Source organism: Homo sapiens, chromosome 5 (genome assembly GCF_000001405.40).
Source record: "Homo sapiens chromosome 5, GRCh38.p14 Primary Assembly".
Lineage (NCBI taxonomy): Eukaryota > Metazoa > Chordata > Mammalia > Primates > Hominidae > Homo > Homo sapiens.
This window is the reverse complement of record NC_000005.10, coordinates 145,653,341-145,678,538: the sequence shown is the minus strand read 5'-3', so window position 1 is coordinate 145,678,538 and position 25,198 is coordinate 145,653,341. Positions and strand designations below refer to the sequence as shown.

At 38.6% G+C, this 25,198-nt stretch overlaps 1 protein-coding gene across 6 annotated transcripts in view; it reads left to right on the top strand.

The window, feature by feature from the left end:
• The window catches only part of PRELID2 (PRELI domain containing 2), a 606,358-nt gene that overhangs the window by 156,804 nt on the left and 424,356 nt on the right, over positions 1-25,198 (top strand). For 2 of the 6 annotated variants that reach the window (XM_017009133.2, XM_017009130.2), the window contains one exon: positions 13,194-21,680. The exons of the other annotated variants lie outside the window; for them this stretch is intronic. The gene's annotated coding sequence lies outside the window, so the exon portion shown is untranslated. Of the gene's footprint in view, positions 1-13,193; positions 21,681-25,198 lie in introns of those variants that run through there. 6 annotated transcript variants of the gene reach the window in all.

The window sequence follows — 25,198 nt, the reverse complement described above, 5'->3', positions numbered from 1 at the left end:
TATTTAGCATTATGATTTAGGAATTTACTGTGTATAGGGAAAGCACTATAATCAGTCTTAGGAGCAATAAAATAAGACAGATACTGTCCTGTGCAAGCAACAATCTACCGGTAGATAAAAGCATGCAAACAAATATAAGGAAGTTAAATAAACTAGAAGAGAAGTACGAAGCATTTCTTTGGATGTTTGTAGGAGGGAAAGATCACTTCTGCCTTGGGATACCAAAGAGGCATCTGTACAGAAAAGGCATGGGACAGGGAGGTAGTTTTAGGTTCTCAATGCCAGTGAGAACCGCCCAAATCTTACTCATACTTTCACGAGGATGCCTAAGCAATTATCTTGTGTATTTGAACAATATTAGCTGGCCTAATTAGTTCAGAACAACCCAAGCCTCTTTACCCTCAGCATCAAGTTTTTGCCTGGATTATATGGATAGTTTCATTAGTCCTCTTTACACAGCACAAGTGAATTCCATTTGTTTCAAGAAGCAAGAATGAACTTCTACAGACATTGCCCTCATATAGATAGTTAGCATGTTGCACTGACTCTCAAGAAAAGATAAAACCATGTCACAGCATTGATTTACAAATATATGGTTACCTATGTGAATGCCTGTCCCACAACTTCTCCTTTTCTGTAAAATGCACCCCACCCACCGCGGCCTCCCAAAGTGCTGGGATTACAGGCGTGAGCCACTGTGCCTGGCCTCAGTGGTGAATTTTTAATGAAACCACAGACAGTTGCTGACCCCAAAATTCATAATTCACACTTTATCCCCAGTGCTTGAGGTGAATGGTGGTGCTTCAGTTTTTTATTTCCTTTTTCTCTGGTTTTATTTAAACATAATACTTTTATTATGAAAAAGTTCAATTATATACGAAGAAAGCACAATGAACCCCTGTGCCTGTTTAGATGAATATGTCACCCAGCTTCAATAATGGTCAATTCTTGGCCAACTTCATCTGTGCCGCACTTGCTAACCCCTCTACCTCTAGATTATTTTGAAGAAAATCCAAGACTTGATATCATTTCTTCCATTAATATTTCAATCTGAAAAATAACAATTCCTAAAAAACATAATTTCAGCCAGGCATGGTGGCTCAGGCCCATAATCCCAACACTTTGGGAGGCCGAGGTAGGTGGATCACTTGAGGTCCATAGTTGGAGACCAGCCTGGCCAACATGGTGAAACCCTGTCTCTACTAAAAATACAAAAATTAGCTGGGCGTGGTGGCACACGGCAGTAGTCCCAGCGACTCAGGAGGCTGAGGCATGAGAATTGCTTGAACCCAGGAGGCAGAGATTGCAGTGAGCCAAGATTGCACCACTGCACTCCAGCCTGGATGACAGAATGAGAATCTGTCTCAAAAAAAAAAAAAAAAAAAACCAAAACCAAAAAACAAAAACATAAAAAACATAATCTCAATACAATCATTATACTAAAATAATTAATAATTTCTTAATTTTTTTCAAATATTACACCGTGTTAAAATTTTCTCAGCTGCTACAGAAATGCTTTCTCACAATTTGTTTTCAAAATTAGTTTGACTTCTAATGAAAATAAGACTCATATATTTTAATTGTTTAATAGGTCTCTTAAGCCTCCTTCGATCTAAGGTTTTCTTTCTTTGCAACTTATTTGTTGAAAAATCTGGTCACTTTGTCAGTAGAGTTTCTTGTAGTCTAAATTTTGCTAATTTTATTCCTGTGGTGTTATTAAAAGTATTTTTTTCTGTCCTCTGTATATTCTATAAATTGATAACCAGATTTAAGAGCTTACTCAGATTAAGATTGGATTTGTTTTCCACATTATTTCATGGATGGTGGTGTTTATTTATATCAAGGAGCCATATCCCTTATTGTCACTCTTTCTGTCATGATAGTAGCAACTGGTTTCTCAGGAAAAGTGGGTTAAATGCTCAATTCTTTCATTTTATTTGCCTGTTTCTTGGAATTCTCCAAAAGTGAGCAATGAGTTGTGTTGTTGTTGTTGTTGTTTTGAGACAGAGTCTCCCTCTGTTGCCCAGGCTGGAGTGCAGTGGTGTGGCCTTGGCTCACTGCAACCTCCACCTCCTGGGTTCAAGTGATTCTCCTGCCTCAGCCTCCCGAGTGGCTAGGATTATAGGCACCTGCCACCAAGCCTTGATAATTTTTTGTATTTTTAGTAGAGACAGGGTTTCACCATGTTGGCCAGGCTGGTCTCGAACTCCTGACCTCGTGATCTGCCCGCCTTGGCTGCCCAAAGTGCTGGAATTACAGGCGTGAGCCACTGCCACACAAACAATGAGACACATTATTTTTTTTTTTTTTTTTTTTTTGAGATGGAGTTTCGCTCTTGTTGCCCAGGGTGGAGTGCAATGGTGCGATCTGGGCTCACCGCAACCTCTGCCTCCCAAGTTCAAGCGATTCTCCTACCTCAGCCTCTCTAGTAGCTGGGATTACAGGCATGTGCCACCACGCCCGGCTAATTTTGTATTTTTAGTAGAGACAGGGTTTCTCTGTGTTGGTCAGGCTGGTCTCAAATTCCTGACCTCAGGTGATCCAACCGCCTTGGCCTCCCAAAGTGCTGGGATTACAGGCGTGAGCCACTGCGCCCAGCCCCACATTATTGTTTTTAATATTGGTATCAACTCACATATTTGTTGTGTTTCAATCTATTGCAGTTGTTATTTTTAGTTCTTATTTTTCTTTACAATTGTGTAGTTCTTCATTGTGTGGATGTACCTTGCTGGTTCATAGCCGAGTTCAGCAAACATTTTCTGTAAAGAACCAGATAATAACATATTTGTCACATTTTTTTTCTATAATCCTTTAAAAATGTAAAACCACTCTCAACTTCTAGGCTGTATAGAAACAGGCCTGGAGATTTGGCCTGTGCACTGTGGTTTGCAGACCACTAAACCAGTTCTCTATTGGTAGCTATTTGGTGTGTTTGCAGACTTTTACTGTAATAAATTGTGCTGTAAAAGATAATTTTCTGCATACATCTTTTTCTATTTTTGCCATTGGGATGGACTTCTAGAAGTGAGATTACTGAGTCAAAGGGTAAATGCTTATTAGTTTTGCTAGATAGTGTCAATCTCTTCTCAATGGGTTTGTTCTGTTTTGTACCAGCGGTGTATGAGAATGTTTCCTCCAACCTTGCCAAAAGAGTGGATTATTGAACTTTTAGATTTTTTGTCATTCTGAGTGAATAGTGTATATAATCTTAATTTGCATTTATTTTATTATTAGTAAGATTAAGTCTCTTTTCATATGGACTAAGAGCCATTTACATTACTTTTTGGTGAAATATCTCTTTATATCTCTTGCCCAGTTTACTATAATTAATCGATTTATTCTTTCCTCTATTTTTATAATATTAACTCATTATTCCTGCAGAAAGTGGCAAGTGTTTTTTTCTGGGTTTAAAAAATTTTAAATTAAGAATTTTTTGCTGTATAGTTTTTATAATTTTAATTTGTATGTCAAGTTTATCTAACTTTTCTCTTATTGCATGTAGATTTTGAGTCATAGGAAAGTGTTTCCTACTCCCAAGTTCAAACATTTTTTAATAGTACTGATATAGTGGTAGTCTTACATTTATTGTATCTTTTTTTTTTTTGATACTGAATCTCACTCTGTTGTTCAGGCTGGAGTGCAGTGGTGAAATCATGGTTCACTGAAACCCCCACGTCCTGGGTTCAAGTGATCCTCCTGCTTCAGCTGGGACTACAGGTGTGCACCACCACACCTGGCTAATTTGTGTATTTTTAGTAGAGACAGGGTTTCAGCATATTGGCCAGGCTTTTGGTCTCAAATTCCTAGCCTCAAGCGATCTGCCTGCATCTGCCTCCCAAAGTTATGGGATTACAGGCATGAGCCACTGTGCCTGGCCATAGTCTTACATTTAAATCTGACACATTTGGAATTTATATTGGTATATGGAGTGAGGAATAGATCCAGTCTGATCATTTTCCATTTGACTTACCAGGTATCTCAATACCACTTATTAAAACATTCATCTTTTCCCAACTAATTTCAGATGCTGAATCTGAATTAATAAAAAATATTAATTTTACACTTTTCAGTTATTAAATGCTAAATTTTCATATGTGATCAGATCTATTTCTGGATTTTCTATTTGTTCCATTTGTCCTTCTGTCTCTTCAAATACCGATACCACATTTTACACTTGGACACACGGTGGGGAACATCACACACCCGGGCCTGTCATGGGGTAGAGGGAGGGGGGAGGGATAACATTAGGAGATATACCTGATGTAAATGACAAGTTAATGGGTACAGCATGCCAACATGGCACATGTATACATACATAACAAACCTGCACGTTGTGCGCATGTACCCTAGAACTTAAAGTATAATAAAAAAATACCAAAACCACATTTTAAAAGTTTTGTAGGTTTGAAAAACCATCTTAATACCAAGCAGGGCTAGGATCCCCCCTCCTATTTCTTATATTTTTTGGTGTTTTTCCAAATTAATGGTATAATCAACTTTATATTTAGGAAAATAAAAACCTGATGACATTTTATTGGCACTCACTAAGTATGAAAGTTAACTTTGTGTGCACTGCCAACTTTATGATGTTGGTACTTCCTTGCCTAGAATATGGAAAGAAAGCCTTCTTATTTGTTCAAGTCTGCTTCTGTGTTTTTCAGAAATATTTTACACTTTTTCTCATGTGGATTTTACTTGGGTGTTATTATTACTGTAATAATAATAATAGTTATTGTCCTTGTAAACAGGCTTTTCCCCTTCCAATGATGCCTTTAAATTGGATTTTGCTTATTTATAGATCCATTTTTTACTTTTAATCTTTCATAATTTGTTTGTTTTGCATGTGTCTCTCAGATGTGTTGAATTTTGGTTTGCTAGCAAATCAAAAATTTTTTTTATAGATTTATTATGCCCATTTATATTTATTGATATGATTGAGAGCTTTGATCTCAGTTGTGTTATGTTGTTTTATTTTATGTGATGTGGGGTGTGTGTACATCAATAATGTTTCACTATGGGTTTATTTTATTGCTTTCTTTTTTTCTTTTCTTTTCTTTCCTTTTTCTTCTTGGTATATCAGCATTTAGGAAGATCTGGATGCTCTGTCTAATGGTTACCCTTATTATACCTTTATACAAAACATTTATCTGTTTTGAATAGTGCCTGATACTTCCATACACTTATGAAGTTGGCCAGCAATCCCTTCTTTCCCTTCCCTCCTCTCTCTCAGAACATCTAATGTAATTTGATGCTGATGGGATATCATTTTGCTGCAGTTAATACCTAAAAGCCATCTCCTGAGGTGCTGGAGTGTAGCCATAGGGGCTTTTGGTTGGCTGCCTTCAACCCTAGGTTGGAAGAGGCATATTGGGCACTTTGCTGATTTGAATATACGTCTTTTCTAAGTAGGCCTGGTGGACTTCAGAATCTCTGACTCAGGTGGTTCTCTCTCTTCTAAAGACTTGCTTCTGACCTTCTGTGAGCTTTTCTGGCACTCTATTTCCTCCAGACTTTTGTCTTATTCATCCCTCATAGAATCAGAACATAGGTGCTTGGTTGTCCTGAACTACAGAGGGCCCTAGGGAAAGCTGTGCTATCCTGGGTTTCATAGCTGTGTGAGGTATATATTCTAAAAAAGTTTTATAATTCAAATAAAATTGGATGTCAGTAATGAAAATTTATATGACTCAAAGCTAGAAGAAAAATTCTGCATTCAGTGGAAAGATCAAGATTCCTTTAAAGTTAGGGAATTGATGGTGATGGGTCGCATTTTCTGTCAGTCCTTTTTTGTGTTTTTATTGGATCTTTTATTGCTCAGGGCCTTTATGTTTTGAGATGAGGTAGAAGCCAATGAAGTTGTTACTTGTTTCTAATTTTTAGTTCTTTTAATGAATGAAATCAAGGCTGTCTCCTTCTTAGCAGTCTCCTCTCATTTCACATTTTCTGTTACATGATGAAGAGATGAGAGAGACAGAAGGTGGCTATACAGGAGGAAATAGGCTCTCATCATTTGAAGTGGCTGTTTTTTTTTTTTTTTCACAAGCTCCGTGGGGAATTCTGAGCATTAGCTTCAAAAAAGCCATTCCTTATGTCAAAGCTGCACTTAGATTTGGCTTGTTGGGATCCTTTTTGCGAATGCCGGCACTGGTAATGGGGACTGTTGATTCCCAAGATGGAGGAAGGGTGAAGTAATGGCCCCCAAATTACAGCCTAGGTCTATCCAAACATTTCTAATGTGTGAGAATTCTGAATCCTCTCTTTAACCCTGCTGTGAAAGATGATGCTGATATGACCCTTTTCACTATTTCCCCCTTCTATATCATTCCAGACTAGCTTTTTGTGCTTCAGTGATACAAATTTAGAGAAAGTTGGGAGCAGAACAAGGGCAAGAGGGGATGTTATAGGGCTTGGTGACAAATATTTTGAGGATTTTGACAAGTGAGCCATGGAAGAAGTGTGTAAAGGAAGTGGAGAAGAAAGAAAAGTGAACATTTAAAATAGAGTATGTCCGAGCTCATTGGTATTCCATTCAAGGCGTTTGAAAATAAAGTAAAGCACTTGGGCAATTTTACCATTATTATAATTTTTTGTTTCTGAATTGCAGTTCTTTTTTATTTCTACGCTGTAGTTCTTTGATTGCAATAACATTCCAAAGCTAGTCCTCATGAGTGATACCTTTATAAGGTTACACTTGCGTTTCTTGGTATGATAACTAGATTTCTGGTTTCTTGTAGAACATTTTCCTAAGTCCAGCATGGAGAATAGGTTATATCTTACATATCAACTCTAATTAAATGGTGTAGCTTCTGTAGTTTGGCATTAAAAAGGATTAAGAAACTCCATGTGGGTTTTAGTGGGAAAGAACATTCTAATTGATTAATGATGTCTGCTGTGGATGTCGAATGCTGGTGAATTGTTTATATGCCATAGACTCTGCCACAGCTGCTGGAAAACATTCTTCTTGCCTTTTCTTTTAACATACAGCTAAAGTGACAGAGAAGACAACTAGAATATGCAAACATTCAAAACTGCTGTTGACAACTGCTCTTTGTTGTCAAAACTAAGTGGCAGAATAATACCAAGTTTAACAGAGCAGAAGGGGGTGAGTTAATTAATACAGAAAATTTTTTAATTCAGAGAATCTAATCTAGGATTGGACTCTGGGAAACAGAACAATTGACCTGGATTTCAGTACTCTATTGGACCTAAAAGTTTTGTTGGGATTCTGAGCACAGCATGGACTAACTGGGTTCAAAAAGTCAAGCACTTTGCCTTGTGAATAATTTATATGAACTATATCCATTGCCTGAAATCTGTATAGCGATAGTTTTTAACCCCCTTTTCCTTAATTCATTCCATCATTTTATTAAAGAGTTTTGCTCTTTATAAAGACAAATTTTCTGAGAGGAACATTTTTGTCATTATAGGAAATTCGGTTTGTTAACAATAGCTCCCATTTCTGGGCTAAATGTTTGCATACATTAGCTTATTGAATACCTATGAAAATCTTGTGAAATCAATATCATTATCCCCATTTTATGCTGAAATAATTGATGCTCAGAGAGGTTATGTAGCTAACCTGGGTATACATTTAGTATATTAAGATCTCTCACTGTTGTAAGTTGCAAGGCTTGGGCTTTTAATCATACGCTGTACTGCTAATTTATTTACTTGTTTGCTTATTCATTTTAAGAACTTGAGAACATTTTAGTTGTTTTCTAGATCCAGCTACTGAGATCAGGCTACACCATGCATCAGTTATAAAGATCCTGGAGGTGAGTCCAACTCCTTAGAGTTTGCAGAGCCAAAAAAGACAGAGAGAGATTGGGAGTGAGGAGGTTGGGGTCAAGATGTGAATCTGCTTAGGTGGAAGTGGAGAGGGAGAATGAATGGAGATGAATTACAGTAGTGAAGAGGCTAAGGCAATGGAGAGTGGGACTGTTAGGTTCTCTAGTTTGTTTTTAGTTTAACCAGTATATCTTGAGCACTCACTGTGTGCCAGGCAATGTGCTAAAAACCAGGGATACAAATGAGCAAACACAGAATCCATCCCTGCCTTCATGGGTGATATGGTTTGATGTTTGTGCCTTCCAAATCTCATGTGGAAATTTCATCCCCAATGTTAAAGGTGGGGCCAAGTGGGGAGGTGTTTGTGTCGTGGGGATGGATCCCTCATGAATGATTTGGTGCCATTCTCATAAGATTGGGTGAGTTCTCACTCTTTGTCTCTGTGAAATCTGACTGTTAAAAAGAGCCTGGCACTCTCCTCCCCTTGCTGTCTTGTTCCCTTTCTTGCCACGTGACACACCTGCTCTCTCTTTGCCTTCTGCTGTGATTGGAAGTTTCCTAAGGCCCTCACCAGAAGCAGATGCTAATGCCATGTTTCTTGGACAGCTGGCAGAAGTGCAAGCCAAATAAACCTCTTTTGTTTATAAATTACCCACCCTCAGATATTTCTTTATAGTGATGCAAAATGGACTAAGACAGTGGGCTTATAGACTAATGAGCACATATGATTAATCAATTAACCTCTCAAATAAATAGAAAATGAAACTGGTCAGTGAGTATAATAGTTCACGCTGAGTGTAGTAAGTTCGCTGCAGGTGAACGTGGTGCTATGAGAGGCTCTAAGATGGCGATTTGATATTATCAAGGGTCAGGAAAGGCTTCTCTGAGGAAGAGATGGTTTATCCCAGACCAGAAGAATGAGTCGATTTGGTAAAGACAGTAGAAGAAGAATTCCCAAGAAAGTGACTAGCATGTGAAAATCATGAGAGGATGGTGTGAAAGAAGCCAATGTGGCCAGAGCACAGAGAGAGGCTACTGGAGAGATAGGCAGGAGGCAAACATGCATGGTTGTGGGCCACATTCAAGGTGTTGGCCATTATCCCAATAACTATAGATATCTGCTGAGGATTTTAAACATAAAATGGCATGACTTGGTTGAAATTTGAATCAGATCCCTTGAGCCATGATGAGAAACAGACTGGAAGGTGGCAAGAACAGAAGCAAGTAGTTCAGTTTGAAGGCTAACACAGTCGGATCTATGTCTAGAAGCACTGATTGCCTCCCAAGATGACCAGTTAACAGGAGTTTTGCAGTGTCTCTGGGTTGATAATACTGGGATAAAGACCCCTGGTTTATCTGAACAGTGGAACATAAACCAACCATATGGTAGAATTCACTAATTAAGAACACCTACTTTGGACACACCTGTGTTTGCCTTTTATTGATATCTTGGTTGCAATGACCATTACTGTTCATTTATAGCCAACAACCAGAGGAAAACAAAGAGCCGATCTGCTATTTGTTTTCCTATCCAATATTGTTTCCTATCCAATAATCTGAAACCAATATTTTTTCAGCATCATCCTGCCTCCATGCGGCCCAATTAGTTTAACGATAATTCTCTATCTTTTCCTAAGTAATTGGTTTAGGAATGGCTATGTGACATATTCTGAGTCCAGAAGACATGAAGGGAAGCTGGGGAGCACGGGGATGTGTGTCTGAGGAAAGTTTCTGTCTCATAAAAGAAATCCACAGGAAGTGACTCTAGATATGATACCTGAAACCGCTGCAGCCTGTGAAAGGGGGAGCTGAGAAATAGAAAAGAACTTTGGACCTGACCTTAACAGGACGATTAAGCTATTAGTCAAGCAAATCAATCATCTCCAGGGCTCACTCTGCCTCTAATAACCTTCCTGTTACATGGGATAATAAAGTCTTTAGTTTGAACTTAGGTTTTTCTGATTTGTAGATGAAAGTATTGAAACCAATAAACCAGCTGTGTGGACCTGAGAAAGTTGATTACAGTCTTTGAGCCACTTTCCTTATCTGTAATGTAGGTAATAGTTATACTTGTTCCATTGAAATAGGGTTGTGAGGATTATATTATATAATATACCTTATGTGCTTAGCCCAGTGCCCAACAAAGAGTTGTTCAATAAATTGTTGCTATGGAGATGAATAATAATTCTTTCTCATATTTTATATCAGCGAGGATGGACTGTGATTACATATGGCTATGTGTCTACAGGTCATATACTAGCCGACTGTTTGGAAGCAAATAAACAGCTATACTGCCTTTTTTTTTAAAATCTAGATTTATATTGGGTATCTATAGGGACATGCAAATGTACCCCTAGACTGCCTGGATATCTTTTTTTTTTTTTTAACCACCTTCATAATCCATTTCTATATAATCAATTAGATTGGTTATGCAGATGATTCAATTTGGTCATTAGGTTGTCAGAAAACACCAGCTGGGTGGTTACTGGAGACAGAATCTTCTCTTTGGCTGTGGCCTCCCTGTCTTTTGTTGAAGGATTTCACACACATGACACCACTGTGTAGGGATTGTTTTGGTAGTACACATTCACTTATTCTGTCACAGGGGAACACTAAATCTTTGATATTTCTTGAATGTGCAGATCAATAGCCTAGTTCTTCTTTCCTGAAATTCTAATGTGACTTTTGGACCACTGACAACTTTTCACAAGTTAGGTTGACACTCCCAAAATGAATTGGATGATTCAAAGCCAAAACTTGCTTTTGCGCATCAAGCCTGAAATACTTGTTTTTTTCTTTTTGTCTCTACCCGAACTCACTGGGTGACTTCTAGAATTGTGCTTTCTTTTGAATATTCTGCTATAGCCACATACACACAGTGGCTGAGGTTAGACGCTAAGCAAGTCTACAATTGGCATGTGTGTCTGGAGGAAGAAAGCTAACATTTGAGTGCAAGGTATGGTGCTAGTGGGTTTATATTGATATTATTATCTTCATTTAACAGATGTAGACCTAGGATTAGAGAGTTGAAATAACTTGCCTAAGTGACTGGTTAGCAGGTAGTAGAGATGGAGTTTGATCCTAGACCTGTCTTACTCCCAAGCCATACTGGAGAAGGCATTCAACATAGTAAATAGCAGCATACTGCATGGTCAAAAGCATGAACTACAGTATCAACTGCCTGTGTCAAATTGATGACTCTGTCACTCACTGAGCATGCAATCCTAGGCAAGTTATTTAACTACCTTGTGCCTCAGTGTCTTCACCTGTATAATGGGAAGTATCTGCATCAAAAACTTGTTGTAAAGATTAAATGAGTAAATATATATAAAGCACATAGAACAATGCATTTGAATTTGTCTTGATTTCCTTTCCTTTGTTATCAAAATATACAACTGTGTATTTTGACAATAGAGCCAGAATATTGCAGGCAGAAACTTGAATGCAGGTCTTTAAAACTATAAAGCCAGTGTGTTTCCTACTATATCAAGCACAGAATGGGAGACTTTGGGGAGTTCCAGAAGAAAAAAATATCCACTAAAGGTATTATAACCCACTCAAAGGCTAATATTCATACAATCTTCTTAGACTTTTCCAGATTAGCCATGAGTGACTAGGATTTTTCTCTGCGTATTGAGACTTAAAAATCAAATATGATTTCAAATAAATGTTCAGATAAAATGCAAATGTATCTGTATTCACTAGAGACCTCTCATTCCCTGTTTTGTCTTTTGCCAGTAACAAAAACTTCTCTTTCCTTATTCATTTTAACTCCCTTATCTTTTGTCACTACAATAAGAGGTTTTAAATATCTTAAATTGGTCACGTATAAGCCATTCTCTAATGATTGCATCAGTTCTGAATTGGTGTGCTATAAATAAACACAAAAACTGGGATAAATTTCATTAGCAAGTAAACATAATACATATCACAGTACAACACATAAATTTCCTTCTGTGCTTGTCAAACAAGGACTCGAGAAATGCTTGTCTCTGCAAGCTGCACCAAGACTCATAAATTGCTTCACAGAATGAGGAAATATTCAGTAAACACAGACAATTAATAACCATGTTCTTAAGTGACTAAATGGAGTTACTACACATTCCCAAAAAGCTAAGGAAAAGTGCTTGTCCTTCTATTGTCCTTGAGCGCTGTGCCACAGGGTACTATGAGTGAGTGAGATGGGCTCAGTTTGGTGGGGAAAAGATGCAAATAAACTCAAAACTCACCATTTTGTGTGTATGTACAGTTGTTATTGTTATATTTTACCTGTCTGGAATAGATGCCTCACTTTTCTGAAAAACAACACTCCCAGTCTTCCTTTGGTGAAGCTAGTCTTTCCCATTGTAGCTCTGTATGGCTTGGGTGGAGTTGTTGATTTACCCTTCCTGCTTCAGCGATGGAGGCTGACCCATATCTTGAGAATCAGAAAATTCACTTTTCTTGGTCACAGTGATTGTTTCAAGGGTGGGCAAATAATCCAAGACAGACAAATAAGACTCACATCTGGACCTTCTATTGAAACAATTAGGAAAGAAATCTCTTTTTGCCAACCTGCAGCTGGAGTGTTCTCTAAGTAGAAACCAACCATTTAGAATTAAGTCAACATAAAGGAGAGAAATACCTGGAGAGGAAGGAGCCAGCTGTGAAGACATAATTTGAGCATCTTGATCCAGTTATGTCTGAAGACTCTATCTCCAAATTTTTGTTAACATAAGAGAATAAATAGTACTTTCTTTCTTTCTTTCTTTTTTTTTTTTTTTTAAAAAAAAGACAAGTTTGCTATTTTTTTCTTAAGGCAGTTTGAATTGGTTTCTATTACTTACAAAAAAAGTTTCTCATTAATATGACTATGATATAAAAAGTGCCATAATAGTCATATGAACAAAAAGTCCTGGCATCCAGGATGGAGAGACTAAGGAGTGCCATTTGAATTGAGCTTTGAAAGATGTATAGAATTTCACAAGTGGAGTAAGTAGGGAAAGCCACTTCAGAGAAGAACAGCATGTGCAAAAAGAATAAACATTTCAGGGAATATGAGAAATTTGGGGTGACCAGGACATAGTGTTATGGTGGGGAGTGATAAGAGGAATGGCTGGAGAGATGGGCTAGAGCCCAATTATACATTGTACATCATGCTAGGCATTATATACCATGCTAGGGAACATAAGCATAAGAGTAATGTGAGCCATAGGAGAAATGATGTGATTAGATATGAGTGTTAAATTACTGACTATGGTGGCAGAATGGGGAATGGGTTGAAGTATGGAGACGTGTAAGCAGAAAAGTTGACTTAGAGGCTATGGCATTGAGTAAAGTCAGTAAATATATGGCATAATTGCTGTCTTTTCCCAATCCTGGATCTAAAGCAGACTGCTAATTGACCACCCCCCTTTCCAATTTAGCATTCTCAGCACAGTGTTCCAGACAGCGATTGCCAATGATTTGTCAATTCTGCTGCTCACATTGAAATCTACCTGCTCTTCCAGACAATTCAGTAAGTAGTTGATATGGATGCCATAATGGGACTGAAACTCTCTTGTGTTGACTCTTGCTTTAGATTCTTAGGTTGTATTGTAGAGTTAAAACTCTTCTTTTTTTAACTTGTAGAAGTAAATAGGTGAGTGTTTGCTGAGCAGAAAAAAAATATTTTGGGTGAAATCTCAGTCTCTAAGAGAGACTGCAACTTTCCTTCTTCTCTCAATGCAAGCAAGAGCCCTAATCCAGCAACCAAAACAAAGTTGATGGACTCCATGGGGGCCAGTGTCTAGCTCAAGCTACTTTTAATGGGATAGGAAGCATGTGCATTTCCTTGAGGTCGCAGCTTTAAATCTGACCTGTGGCCATAAGAACCAGTTTCTGACAGCTCCTTGGCAGCTGCTGTGAAATGAGATATGGATCTCAGGACCATTCCTTGTAGCAGGAGTCCACTTCAGCAAAGCCGTGCTGGAGTTACTGCTGGAGAGGCAGTGCTACACTGAAAGGAAAAGGTATAAATGGAGACAGAGCTACTCTATGCACCTGTCAAAGTGGTTTTGCCAGAGCCACCTTGAAGCCCATTGGGTTAAAGGCTACAGTGAGAGCTTTCACTGGAGAAAGGACAATGTTGGACAGTGGGGGACGGGGTGCATTCCTTTGCTGGCTCAAAGAGTTAGATTAAAAAAGCGGGAGCTTTAGAGTTAAGAGAAGTGGCCCACCCCACAGATAGCAGAGAAGAGCTGTGTTCCTCAGATCTGTCAGATAAAGGATCTTTAGAGTCATATACAATTTGCATTTCAATTCAAGAAGAGAAATTCCTCATTTGGAGGGCAACAGGAGCCAGGAAGAAAGAAACCTAGTTCTTGGGTGCTAAGGTTCTGATGGCCTTCTTCATTCTGCTTCTTAGTATAGTCTTGTTCTTGCTTGCTCAAATGGAAAGGAGAAAGCACAATTATTTTTTAGAATCCAAGGTTTTACAACAAATAAAAGTAGATCTAAAGCAGAGAAACAATTGAGGATTTCAAATTTCAAAAGCCTGTCAATATCTGTTTTAAAAAATTCAGAGAAGAAAACCTGGACACAATAATGTATATAAAAAGAATTACCATGTACCAAGGAACAACAATTTACCAGCACTTCCTCTATATGACTTATTTACATTCTTCAATATTTCCTTCATTTTACAAATGAAGTAGTAGAGTTTACAGAAGTAACTTACTCAGCTTACACATCTAGCAAATGATGAGGCCTGGATTTAATGACACATCTATCTAATTTCTAGACCATTGTTGTTTCATTCTACCTTGATGTATTCTGGTATGGAAAATGCCTTGAGGAACAGATGTCCCTAGCCAGGATGAAATAGAATGACCTAAAAATCTCTAAAAATAATGATAATGGGCGCACTGCTGAGCACATTATAGGAATCTCTTCAATTAGTCCTCGGAATAACACTATGCATTGGGTTCTGTTACTTGCCAGTTTTACAAATGAGGAAATTTAGAGATGCTGGTTAACTGGCCCAAGGTCTCCCAGACATTCAGTGATGAAGTCGGGGTTAGGATTCAGATCTACCTTGCTTTCAAGACCCATCCTCCTAATCACTAATGCTGGTGTGGCACGTATTAATAAAGACTTATTAATGGAGACAAGTTAGATTATTTTAGGGAGTGTATAAATAAATACTTTTTAAAAGTAGTTGTTTCACTACCAAATTCACTATTTCTCTTTTAAATTCTGCATGAATGTTCACAGCCAGTATAAGTCCCTTCCTCCGTGAAGCTTCCCTCTGAATTCCTGCTGCCTTACAGCTTGTACCACAAAACTGGGCTTTTTCCATGAATATCTGGTAGTAATATGAAGTTACTGTTTCTCTTCAATTGTGACCAGAGATGGCAAATATATCTCAAATCATGTTCTAACTTTGAAAGATGGATAGCAACTATTGAAGTGCTATGCTGGAAAGGAATTTGAGGTTGCACGTGAGCTTGGTAGGAAAGGACACCATGATCAATAGTAATGTCTGTCATGGGGCAGGTGAGGTGAGAAGAGGCCTGTGTGCTGCACATTTGTCATTCTTGCATCTTGGTTCTCTAGCTAGAAGGTAACTCTTTGAGAAAATGATCCATGGCTTCTTCATACATTGCACTTCCCTCAGCATGTCCCATATCTATAGATTTACTGATTCTCTCATTTCTTTTGAAGACCATTTCTGAAATTCCATGAGAATCAGAAGCCATTCAATGAGGCTTCTGTGAATAATAATAATTTAGAAAACCTAAAAAAGAATGAGAAGCCATTATATTTTCACTGTCGATTACAGGTGTAGAATCTGTACTTCTGGTTTGAAGACTGTCTTGGTCTGTCTTCTGTTGCTTATCACAGAATACCTGAAACTGGGTAATTTATAAAGAAAAGGAAATTTATTTCTTAAGTTATGGAGGCTGAGAAGTCAAAGGGTGAGGGGCCGCATCTCGTAAGAGCCTTTTTGCTGGTGGTGACTCTCTGTAGAGTCCCAAGGTGGCTCAGAGAATTACAGACAATGGGGCTGAGCCTGTTCACATGCTAGCTCAGATTTCTCTTCTTTTTCTCATAAAGCCACCAATTCCCCTCCTATGACAACCCATTAATCCATTAACCCATTAATCCATAAGTGAATTAATCCATTAATGAGGACAAAGCCCTCATGATCCAATTGCCTCTTCACAGCCCTACCTCTCAATACTGCCACATTGAGGTTGAAGTTTCAACATGAGTTTTGAAGGGGGCATTCAAACTATAGCAAAGACAAAATAGCTGCTTACCAAAGAGCATTGCCCTTTTCTTTCTCCCTACACTGTAATCCAGCAAGTACTGAACAGGAGACTTAAGGATGTGGGAGAGAAGCCAAGAAATGGAATGGATCAGTAAAGCAATGCATTTGGCCAAAATGAGCTTCCACAATAACATTTGGGAGACAGTTTTTCTCTTATGCGAATCCAGTCTTAGTCAATCATTTTGCTCCTTTGATCTCATGTCTCTCTGGTTTTCTCTATGATTTCTTTACTTGTTGCCAAAGAACGGATGGCTGATAGCTAGGAATGGTTGGCCCATGTCTCTGCTTGAGATTTCACCAGCATCATGTTAGGGTGAAAAGCAGCAGCTGTCAAGATCTGTTCACAGTGGGCTATTGATCTAGACAAGTGCCTGCATTGGACCCCGAGATATTAAATTGTAGCTGGGGAAAAATGATTTGGAAACAGAATCCTGTATATTCATCTAGCTTAGGCATTTCTTGACAAAACTATGTAGTAAGCAGAGTGCCAATTCAGGCTCTGCTCATCTCTCCTTTGGCCATGCTCTGTTTATTCTTTACACTGTTCTGAGATGTTTATTATCTCCAGGGCAGGGCCCTCTTTTCTTGAGAAAATATAATCTATTTTTTTATATTATTTCCTCAATTCTAACTCACCCAGCAGTATCCTGGGTCACATTCTTGCAGAACCTTTTCTCTTAACTTGTTGACTACATGCTGTTTAGAATAACTTATTCTCAGGCGGCTAATGTATTTTCCCTTCTAAATGGCACTTGCAAGCATAACATGTTTTTTTTTTTTTTTTTTTTTTTAATGGCTTGTTTGTTTTTAACGTCCTGGAATCATGTCCACGGTGTGAATCCCAGGCATTGTGACAGGCCAGTGGAGGAAGTACCTTTGGTTTAGAGGTTTCCACTGAATCATACAGTGACAGGGTCCATTCTTCTATTTGAATACTTCCAGGCAGTGGATCTCAGCCAGCATCCCTAGCAGAAGTGAGCTGTCAAATGATTAATAATAATGTGTGAACTGATTTTTGCTGTAACTGAGGCTTCATGTGGGTAAAGTCACATCTGTTCTAATTTATAGTTAAGTGGGTCATGCAATGCCGCACAGAGTTGTGTAAGACTTGGCGCAAATAAAAGATACATAGCATACCATTAAGCTGGTGCCAAAAGAGACCGTATGCTTACTGAAACGTAAGGAAAAGCAGGCCTTGTATACATATATGAAAGTCAAAGTTAAGGCAGACAATGCTTTTCCTCAAACATTTGTTGGAAATCACTATTCTAGAGTGTTTTGTACCTTTTTCTATTTCCAGAAACTAGCTTGATGCCTGACATAAGGAAGGCATTCAAGAACAGTTTTGTAACCTAAGCAGTAAGATTGAGGCTAGCACCTGCTATTTTACCTCATATGCCCCAATGTAAGGCAATCTTGAATTAGGTGATGCTGCACTTTCTCCAAAAAGAATAAGATTTTTAAAACAAAGTTTTGGTTCAATTGAACATATATACTTCTAAGTCTGTAGGCGAAATACTATAGTTGCCGATCTACAAATAGTGTTTATTCAGTTCATTACACATACATACTTCAAGCGGTAATATATTAATTTAGAAATACCGCTTTTTCCCAGTTTTATATTTTTTGAGACAATTTTATTCAAACTCTTCAGATGCATTTTTGATATCTTCTTTCGTATAGTGCTTTTGACACTGTTCTCCCTTCTCCTGTTCCTATTTCTTCTGAAGATTCATGTTGTTCAAAGGAAATGTAGGCTGTTGCCCAAAGATATTTCATAGTTGACAGTATAACACTAAATTATGCATGCACAACCCCATTGGCACCAATAGGCCTGATGCTTGTTCTGGCGTCCATTAATTCTTTATTTCAAGAGTCCTTTTGGTGGCTTAGAAAGCACTGCTGTTACTGCTGGAGCCATTGAGTGAGTGCATTTTTTCTCAGTCTTCCCTGTCAGTAATAGAATATAGGAATAAGCTGTCTCCTTGAATTTACTTTTGGGCTTTATTCTGCCTAGAGGGTTAGGAGGAGGAGCCAGGAGCTGATGTAGGAGGATCAGAACAGGAAAGAAAGACACAGTAGTGTGGTCCTGCCTTGGGCTGGATTGCGACAATTTGGAGCATCGAGCTAGAAAGGGCTGTGGAGATGATGGAATTCAACACCTTCATAATTTAGAAAAGAAACACAAAAAGATTAGGGAAGGCATGTTTCCCAGGATGTCTCTTCTGTTGACTCCAAAGGCCATACTCTTAACCACTGTGCTGTCCTCCAGAGAAACCTGTGATTCCTGACCTTGCTCATCCTTCACTATGAATCCTTAGGCAAAAGACAGCCTCCATGAACCTGAGTTTCCCATTACCTTCAAAATGGAGTAATCATCCTCATGGCAATTTTATAAGCAGAGGTGAAAATGATAAAGTGCTCAATCCCTTTGACACTGTAGCTCAATATACGGTAGCCACTGTTACTATTATTAATATTAGAGCTGTGATGATTATTATTTTGCATTGTAGGTCTTTTTCTAGGCATTAAGTACTCTCCTGCTACCCTTTTCTATCCCTTCCCACATAGACTCACCATATTTCAATGCTAAATATACAATTTAAAAAAATTGTAAGTATTCAATTACAGTGTTAAATGAAGTTGTATTACACTATTCATAACAGTAAAAATGTATTTTTCCTTTTCTTTGAATTGCTCTCTCTGGAAAAATCAATAGTGCATTTACACGAGGCTGGGTGGCCAGAGGCCACATTCTGAGGTCCATATCTCCCTCCACAAAGCTTAAGGGTAAGTACAAGTGACGGAAGCAATTCAAAGAAGGAAACAGGGAAGGCATGCCAGTGAGTCCCTTTCCCACCATGCCTTCCCCACATCCCATTCTAAGCTAGGAGAGTCCTTTACTTCTTGACTCCTACCAGCCTACAGTTTTGAATATTCCAACTTTCCAGCTGCTAGGTCCATGTCTGCTTTTGATAATCAACTTAGCTAACATTTGTTGAACACCTACTGTGTGTAAAGCACTGTGATAGTTTTTGTTGAGTCTGCCTTAAAATGGAATTATAGTCTGATACGGTGAAATAAATGTACACATAGGGTATAAAAGGGGAAAATGGGGACAAGGAAGTTTCTAATTGTGAACTGAAGTGAAAAGGAACCAACTGCCAAGTTCCAGATGGAATCAATGAGATAATGGTGCTGGACTTGATTCTGCCCCAGTGCCTGGGCTATTGGTGAGTAGTCTCTGTGATCTAGAGAATAACAGTATGTTATTACCAGCTGGAGAGTGAGATGGGCACCAGCTTGCTGACCTTGAAGTCTGTGCCATAGCCCTACCACTTTGCGTGTGATCCGACCCTTCCCTAACTCCAGCCTCCTCTTAGGTCAGACTCTCCTTTGCTCCCTCTGCTGTAGGTTCATTTTCCCAGTGTGCTGAACTCTTTCTGCCTTGAGTTCTCATGCATCTGCCTCGAACTTCCCATCTTCCCAATTTCAGCTTAAATGCCACATCTTCATGGAGGCTTTTCTGAAACACAGTACCTAAAGTTCCCCCTTTCCAGTTACTCTGTGTCCCACTACTCTGTTTTATTTTTCCTTATCCCTTACTCTGTAACTATCTAGCTTATTTATTGATTTATATGTTGTGTTAGTTTGCATTGTGATGAAGGAATGCCTGAGACTGGGTAATTTATAAGGAAAATAGGTTTATTTTGGCTCATGGTTCTGCAGACTGTACAGGAATCATGGCAGCAGCATTGGCTCTGCTTCTGGTGAGGTCTTAGGAAGCTTTCAGTCATGACGGAAGGCAAAGGAGGAGCTGACATATCCCGTGGCGAGAGAGGGAGCTAGAGAGAGAGAGTGAGAGAGAGGTCCCAGATTCTTTTAAACAACCAGATCTCATGTGAACTAACTGAGCAAGTACTCACTCATCACCAAGGGGATGGCACTAAGTCATTCATGAGAGATCTGCCCCAGTCATCTAATACTTTCCACTAGGCCCCACCTCCAAAACTGGGAATCACATTTCAGCATGAGATTTGGAGGGACACACATCCAGATCCCATCACATGTTGCATCTCAATGGAAATGCATGCTCCATTAAGTGCAGAACTGAATATGAATTTCAGGAGGGGTCTAGGGCTGGGTCTGTGCAGGGAATGGACTTGGTGGGGTACAAGGCTACTCTTTGACCACATTTTCGATCTGCCTTATGGTTTTGCTTTCACTCTTCTTCCTTTAACATTTTTTTGTTCATAGTCCTAACACTTGTCACGTTAACATCTTATAATAAAAGGAGATGATTTTAGAGCATGGCCATTGGCTTATCTTTTTTGCAGACACATGTCTTGTTCACTATTGTAGCCTCAGTGCCTAACACATTGCCAGGCACACAAGAGGTACTCAATATATTAACTGAATTGTCTGTAGCACACTGACTGTGTGATTTGGTAAGTTATATGACATCTATGAGCATGTTATTTATATGACTCGTAGAATATGGGATGAGATGGGGGAATAATGATACCTCTACTATTGAGATTTTGAGAGGATGCAGAAAGATAGTGACTGTGGAATGCTTAACCCATCATAGATACTAGCATAGAGAATTCATGAGCAAAAATTAGTCTTTTTGAGTCTTTGTCTCCCTTTTGGAGAAGTAACCTTGGATGCCTGTCCCTGAGGCAGAGTCAACATTTGAGGAGTCCAGAGTTTGTGCCTGATGTATTCGTTAGCACTTAAGGGCTCATTTCACTTTCTTTCTTTCTTTTTTTTGAGACGGAGTCTTGCTCTGTTGCCCAGGCTGGAGTGCAGTTGTGCGATCTTGGCTCAGTGCAACCTCTGTCTCCCGGGTTCAAGCAATTTTCTTGCCTCAACCTTCCGAGTAGCTAGGACCACAGGTGCGTGCCACCACGCCCGGCTAATTTTTTGCATTTTAAGTGAAGACAGGCTTTTTCCATGTTAGCCAGGTTGGTCTCGAACTCCTGACCTCATGATCTGCCCGCCTCAGCCTCCCAAAGTGCTGGGATTACAGGCATGAGCCACGATCCTCATTTCACTTTCAGCTAATGTATCCTTGATGAGGCCAGCAGGTAGAGTCATCCAGTAATTTTCACATCTGAGCATGCCTATTTATTTATTTTTTTGAAAACTTTTCTTCTCACGTTGATTTTCTATTTTAAAAAAATTCACAATTGGATCCATTTTAAGGGAAAGAATAGTGTAATTATGTACCAGAATCCTTAAACTAACACTAAATCCTTGCATGCATGCTGAGAATTCTATTGAATCAGCTATTATTATTATTATCTGTTTGACCCATTTCCTTCCAGCAAGTCCAGTAATAAAATTTTGAATAGCAAAATAAAAAATGAATACTTTCTTATTTCTACAAATTATAATTAAACTAATATTTATGAAGTAATGAGCATGTTCCAGGCACTGTACTAGATGCTTTTGTCTGTGTGTTCTAATTAATCTTCCAAATAAACATGTGAGATAGGCTAAGGAGACTAAGAACAGAGAGTCTGTGTCATTCTATTTATTTATTTATTTTTTATCATACTTTAAGTTCTAGGGTACATGTGCACAATGTGCAGGTTTGTTACTTATGTATACATGTACCATGTTGGTGTGCTGCACCCATTAACTTGCCATTTACATTAGGTATATCTCCTAATGCTATCCCTCCCCCCTCCCCCCACCCCATGACAGGCCCTGGTGTGTGATGTTCCCCTTCCTGTGTCCAAGTGTTCTCATTGTTCAATTTCCACCTATGAATGAGAACATGCGGTGTTTGGTTTTTTGTCCTTGCGATAGTTTGCTGAGAATGATGGTTTCCAGCTTCATCCATGTCTCTACAAAGGACATGAACTCATGATTTTTTATGGCTGCATAGTATTCCATGGTGTATATGTGCCACATTTTCTGAATCCAGTCTATTATTAGTGGACATTTGGGTTGGTTCCAAGTCTTTGCTACTGTGAATAGTGCCGCAATGAACATACATGTGCATGGGTCTTTATAGTAACATGATTTATAATCCTTTGGGAATATACCCAGTAATAGGATGGCTGGGTCAAATGACATTTCTAGTTCTAGATCATTGAGGAATTGCCACACTGTCTTCCACAGTGATTGAGCTAGTTTACAGTCCGACCAACAGTGTAAAAGCATTCCTATTTCTCCACATCCTCTCCAGCACCTGTTGTTTCCTGACTTTTTAATGATCGCCATTCTAACTGGTGTGAGATGTTATCTCACTGTGGTTTTGATGTGCATTTCTCTGACGGCCAGTGATGACGAGCATTTTTTCATGTGTCTGTTGGTTGCATAAAGGTCTTCTTTTGATAAGTGTCTGTTCATCTCCTTTGCCCACTTTGTGATGGGGTTGTTTGTTTTTTTCTCATAAATTTGTTTGAGTTCTTTGTAGATTCTGGATATTAGCCTTTTGTCAGATGAGTAGATTGCAAAATTTTTCTCCCATTCTGTAGGTTGCCTGTTCACTCTGATGGTAGTTTTCTTTTGCTGTGCAGAAGCTCTTTAATTTAATTAGATCCCATTTATCAATTTTGGCTTTTGTTGCCATTGCTTTTGGTGTTTTAGACATGAAGTCCTTGGCCATGCCTATGTTCTGAATGGTATTGCTTAGGTTTTCTTCTAGGGTTTTTATGGTTTTAGGTCTAACATTTAAGTCTTTAATGCATCTTGAATTAATTTTTGTATAAGGTGTGAGGAAGGGATCTAGCATCAGCTTTCTACATATGGCTTGCCAGTTTTCCCAGCACCATTTATTAAATAGGGAATACTTTCCCCATTTCTTGTTTGTGTCAGGTTTGTCAAAGATCAGATGGTTGTAGATGTGTGGTATTATTTCTGAGGGCTATATTCTGTTCCATTGGTCTATATCTCTGTTTTGTTACCAGTACCGTGCTGTTTTGGTTACTGTAGCCTTGTAGTATAGTTTGAAGTCAGGTAGCATGATGCCTCCAGCTTTGTTCTTTTGGCTTAGAATTGTTTTGGCAATGCGGGCTCTTTTTTGGTTCCACATGAACTTTAAAGTAGTTTTTTCCAATTCTGTGAAGAAAGTCATTGGTAGCTTGATGGGGATGGCATTGAATCTATAAATTACCTTGGGCAGTACGGCCATTTTCATGATATTGATTCTTCCTATCCATGAGCATGGAATGTTCTTCCATTTGTTTGTGTCCTCTTTTATTTCATTGAGCAGTGGTTTGTAGTTCTCCTTGAAGAGGTCCTTCACATCCCTTGTAAGTTGGATTCCTAGGTATTTTATTCTCTTTGAAGCAATTGTGAATGGGAGTTCACTCATGATTTGGCTCTCTGTTTGTCTGTTATTGGTGTTTAAGAATGCTTGTGATTTTTGCACATTGATTTTGTATCCTGAGACTTTGCTGAAGTTGCCTATAAGCTTAAGGAGATTTTGGGTTGAGACGATGGGGTTTTCTACATATACAGTCATGTCATCTGCAAACAGGGACAATTTGACTTCCTCTTTTCCTAATTGAATACCCTTTATTTCCTTCTCCTGCCTGATTGCCCTGGCCAGAATTTCCAACACTATGTTGAATAGGAGTGGCGAGAGAGGGCATCCCTGTCTTGTGCCAGTTTTCAAAGGGAATGCTTCCAGTTTTTGCCCATTCAGTATGATATTGGCTGTGGGTTTGTCATAAATAGCTCTTATTATTTTGAGATACATCCCATCAATACCTAATTTATTGAGAGTTTTTAGCATGAAGGGTTGTTGAATTTTGTCAAAGGCCTTTTCTGCATCTATTGAGATAATCATGTGGTTTTTGTCTTTGTTTCTGCTTATATGCTGGATTACATTTATTGATTTGCGTATGTTGAACCAGTCTTGCATCCCAGGGCTGAAGCCCAGTTGATCATGGTGGATAAGCTTTTTGATGTGCTGCTGGATTTGGTTTGCTAGTATTTTATTGAGGATTTTTGCATCAATGTTCATCAGGGATATTGGTCTAAAATTCTCTTTTTTTGTTGTGTCTCTGTCAGGTTTTGTTATCAGGATGATGCTGGCCCCATAAAATGAGTTAGGGAGGATTCCCTGTTTTTCTATTGATTGGAATATTTTCAGAAGTAATGGTACCAGCTACTCCTTGTACATCTGGTAGAATTCGGCTGTGAATCCATCTATCCTGGACTTTTTTTGGCTGGTAAGCTATCAATTATTGCCTCAATTTCAGAGCCTGTTATTGGTCTATTCAGGGATTCGAGTTCTTCCTGGTTTAGTCTTGGGAGGGTGTATGTGTCCAGGAATTTATCCATTTCTTCTAGATTTTCTAGTTTATTTGCGTAGAGGTGTTTATAGTATTCTCTGATGGTAGTTTGTATTTCTGTGGGATCGGTGGTGATATCCCCTTTATCATTTTTTATTGCATCTGTTTGATTCTTCTCTCTTTTCTTCTTTATTAGTCTTGCTAGCGATCTATCAATTTTATTGATCTTTTAAAAAAACCAGCTCCTGGATTCAGTGATTTTTTGAAGGGTTTTTTATGTCTCTATCTACTTCACTTCTGCTCTGATCTTAGTTATTTCTTGCCTTCTGCTAGCTTTTGAATGTGTTTGCTCTTGCTTCTCTAATTCTTTTAATTGTGATGTTAAGATGTCAATTTTAGATCTTTCCTGCTTTCTCTTGTGGGCATTTAATGCTATAAATTTCCCTCTACACACTGCTTTGATGTGTCCCAGAGATTCTGGTATGTTGTGTCTTTGTTCTTGTTGGTTTCAAAGAACATCTTTATTTCTGCCTTCATTTCGTTATGTACCCAGTGGTCATTCAGGAGCAGATTGTTCAGTTTTCACGTAGTTGAGTGGTTTTGAGTGAGTTTCTTAATCCTGAGTTCTAGTTTGATTGCACTGTGGTCTGAGAGAAAGTTTGTTATAATTTCTCTTCTTTTACATTTGCTGAGGAGTGCTTTACTTCCAACTATGTGGTCAATTTTGGAATAATTGCGACGTGGTGCTTAGAAGAATGTATATTCTGTTGATTTGGGGTGGAGAGTTCTGTAGATGTCTATTAGGTCCACTGGTGCAGAGCTGAGTTCAATTCCTGGATATCCTTGTTAATTTTCTGTCTTG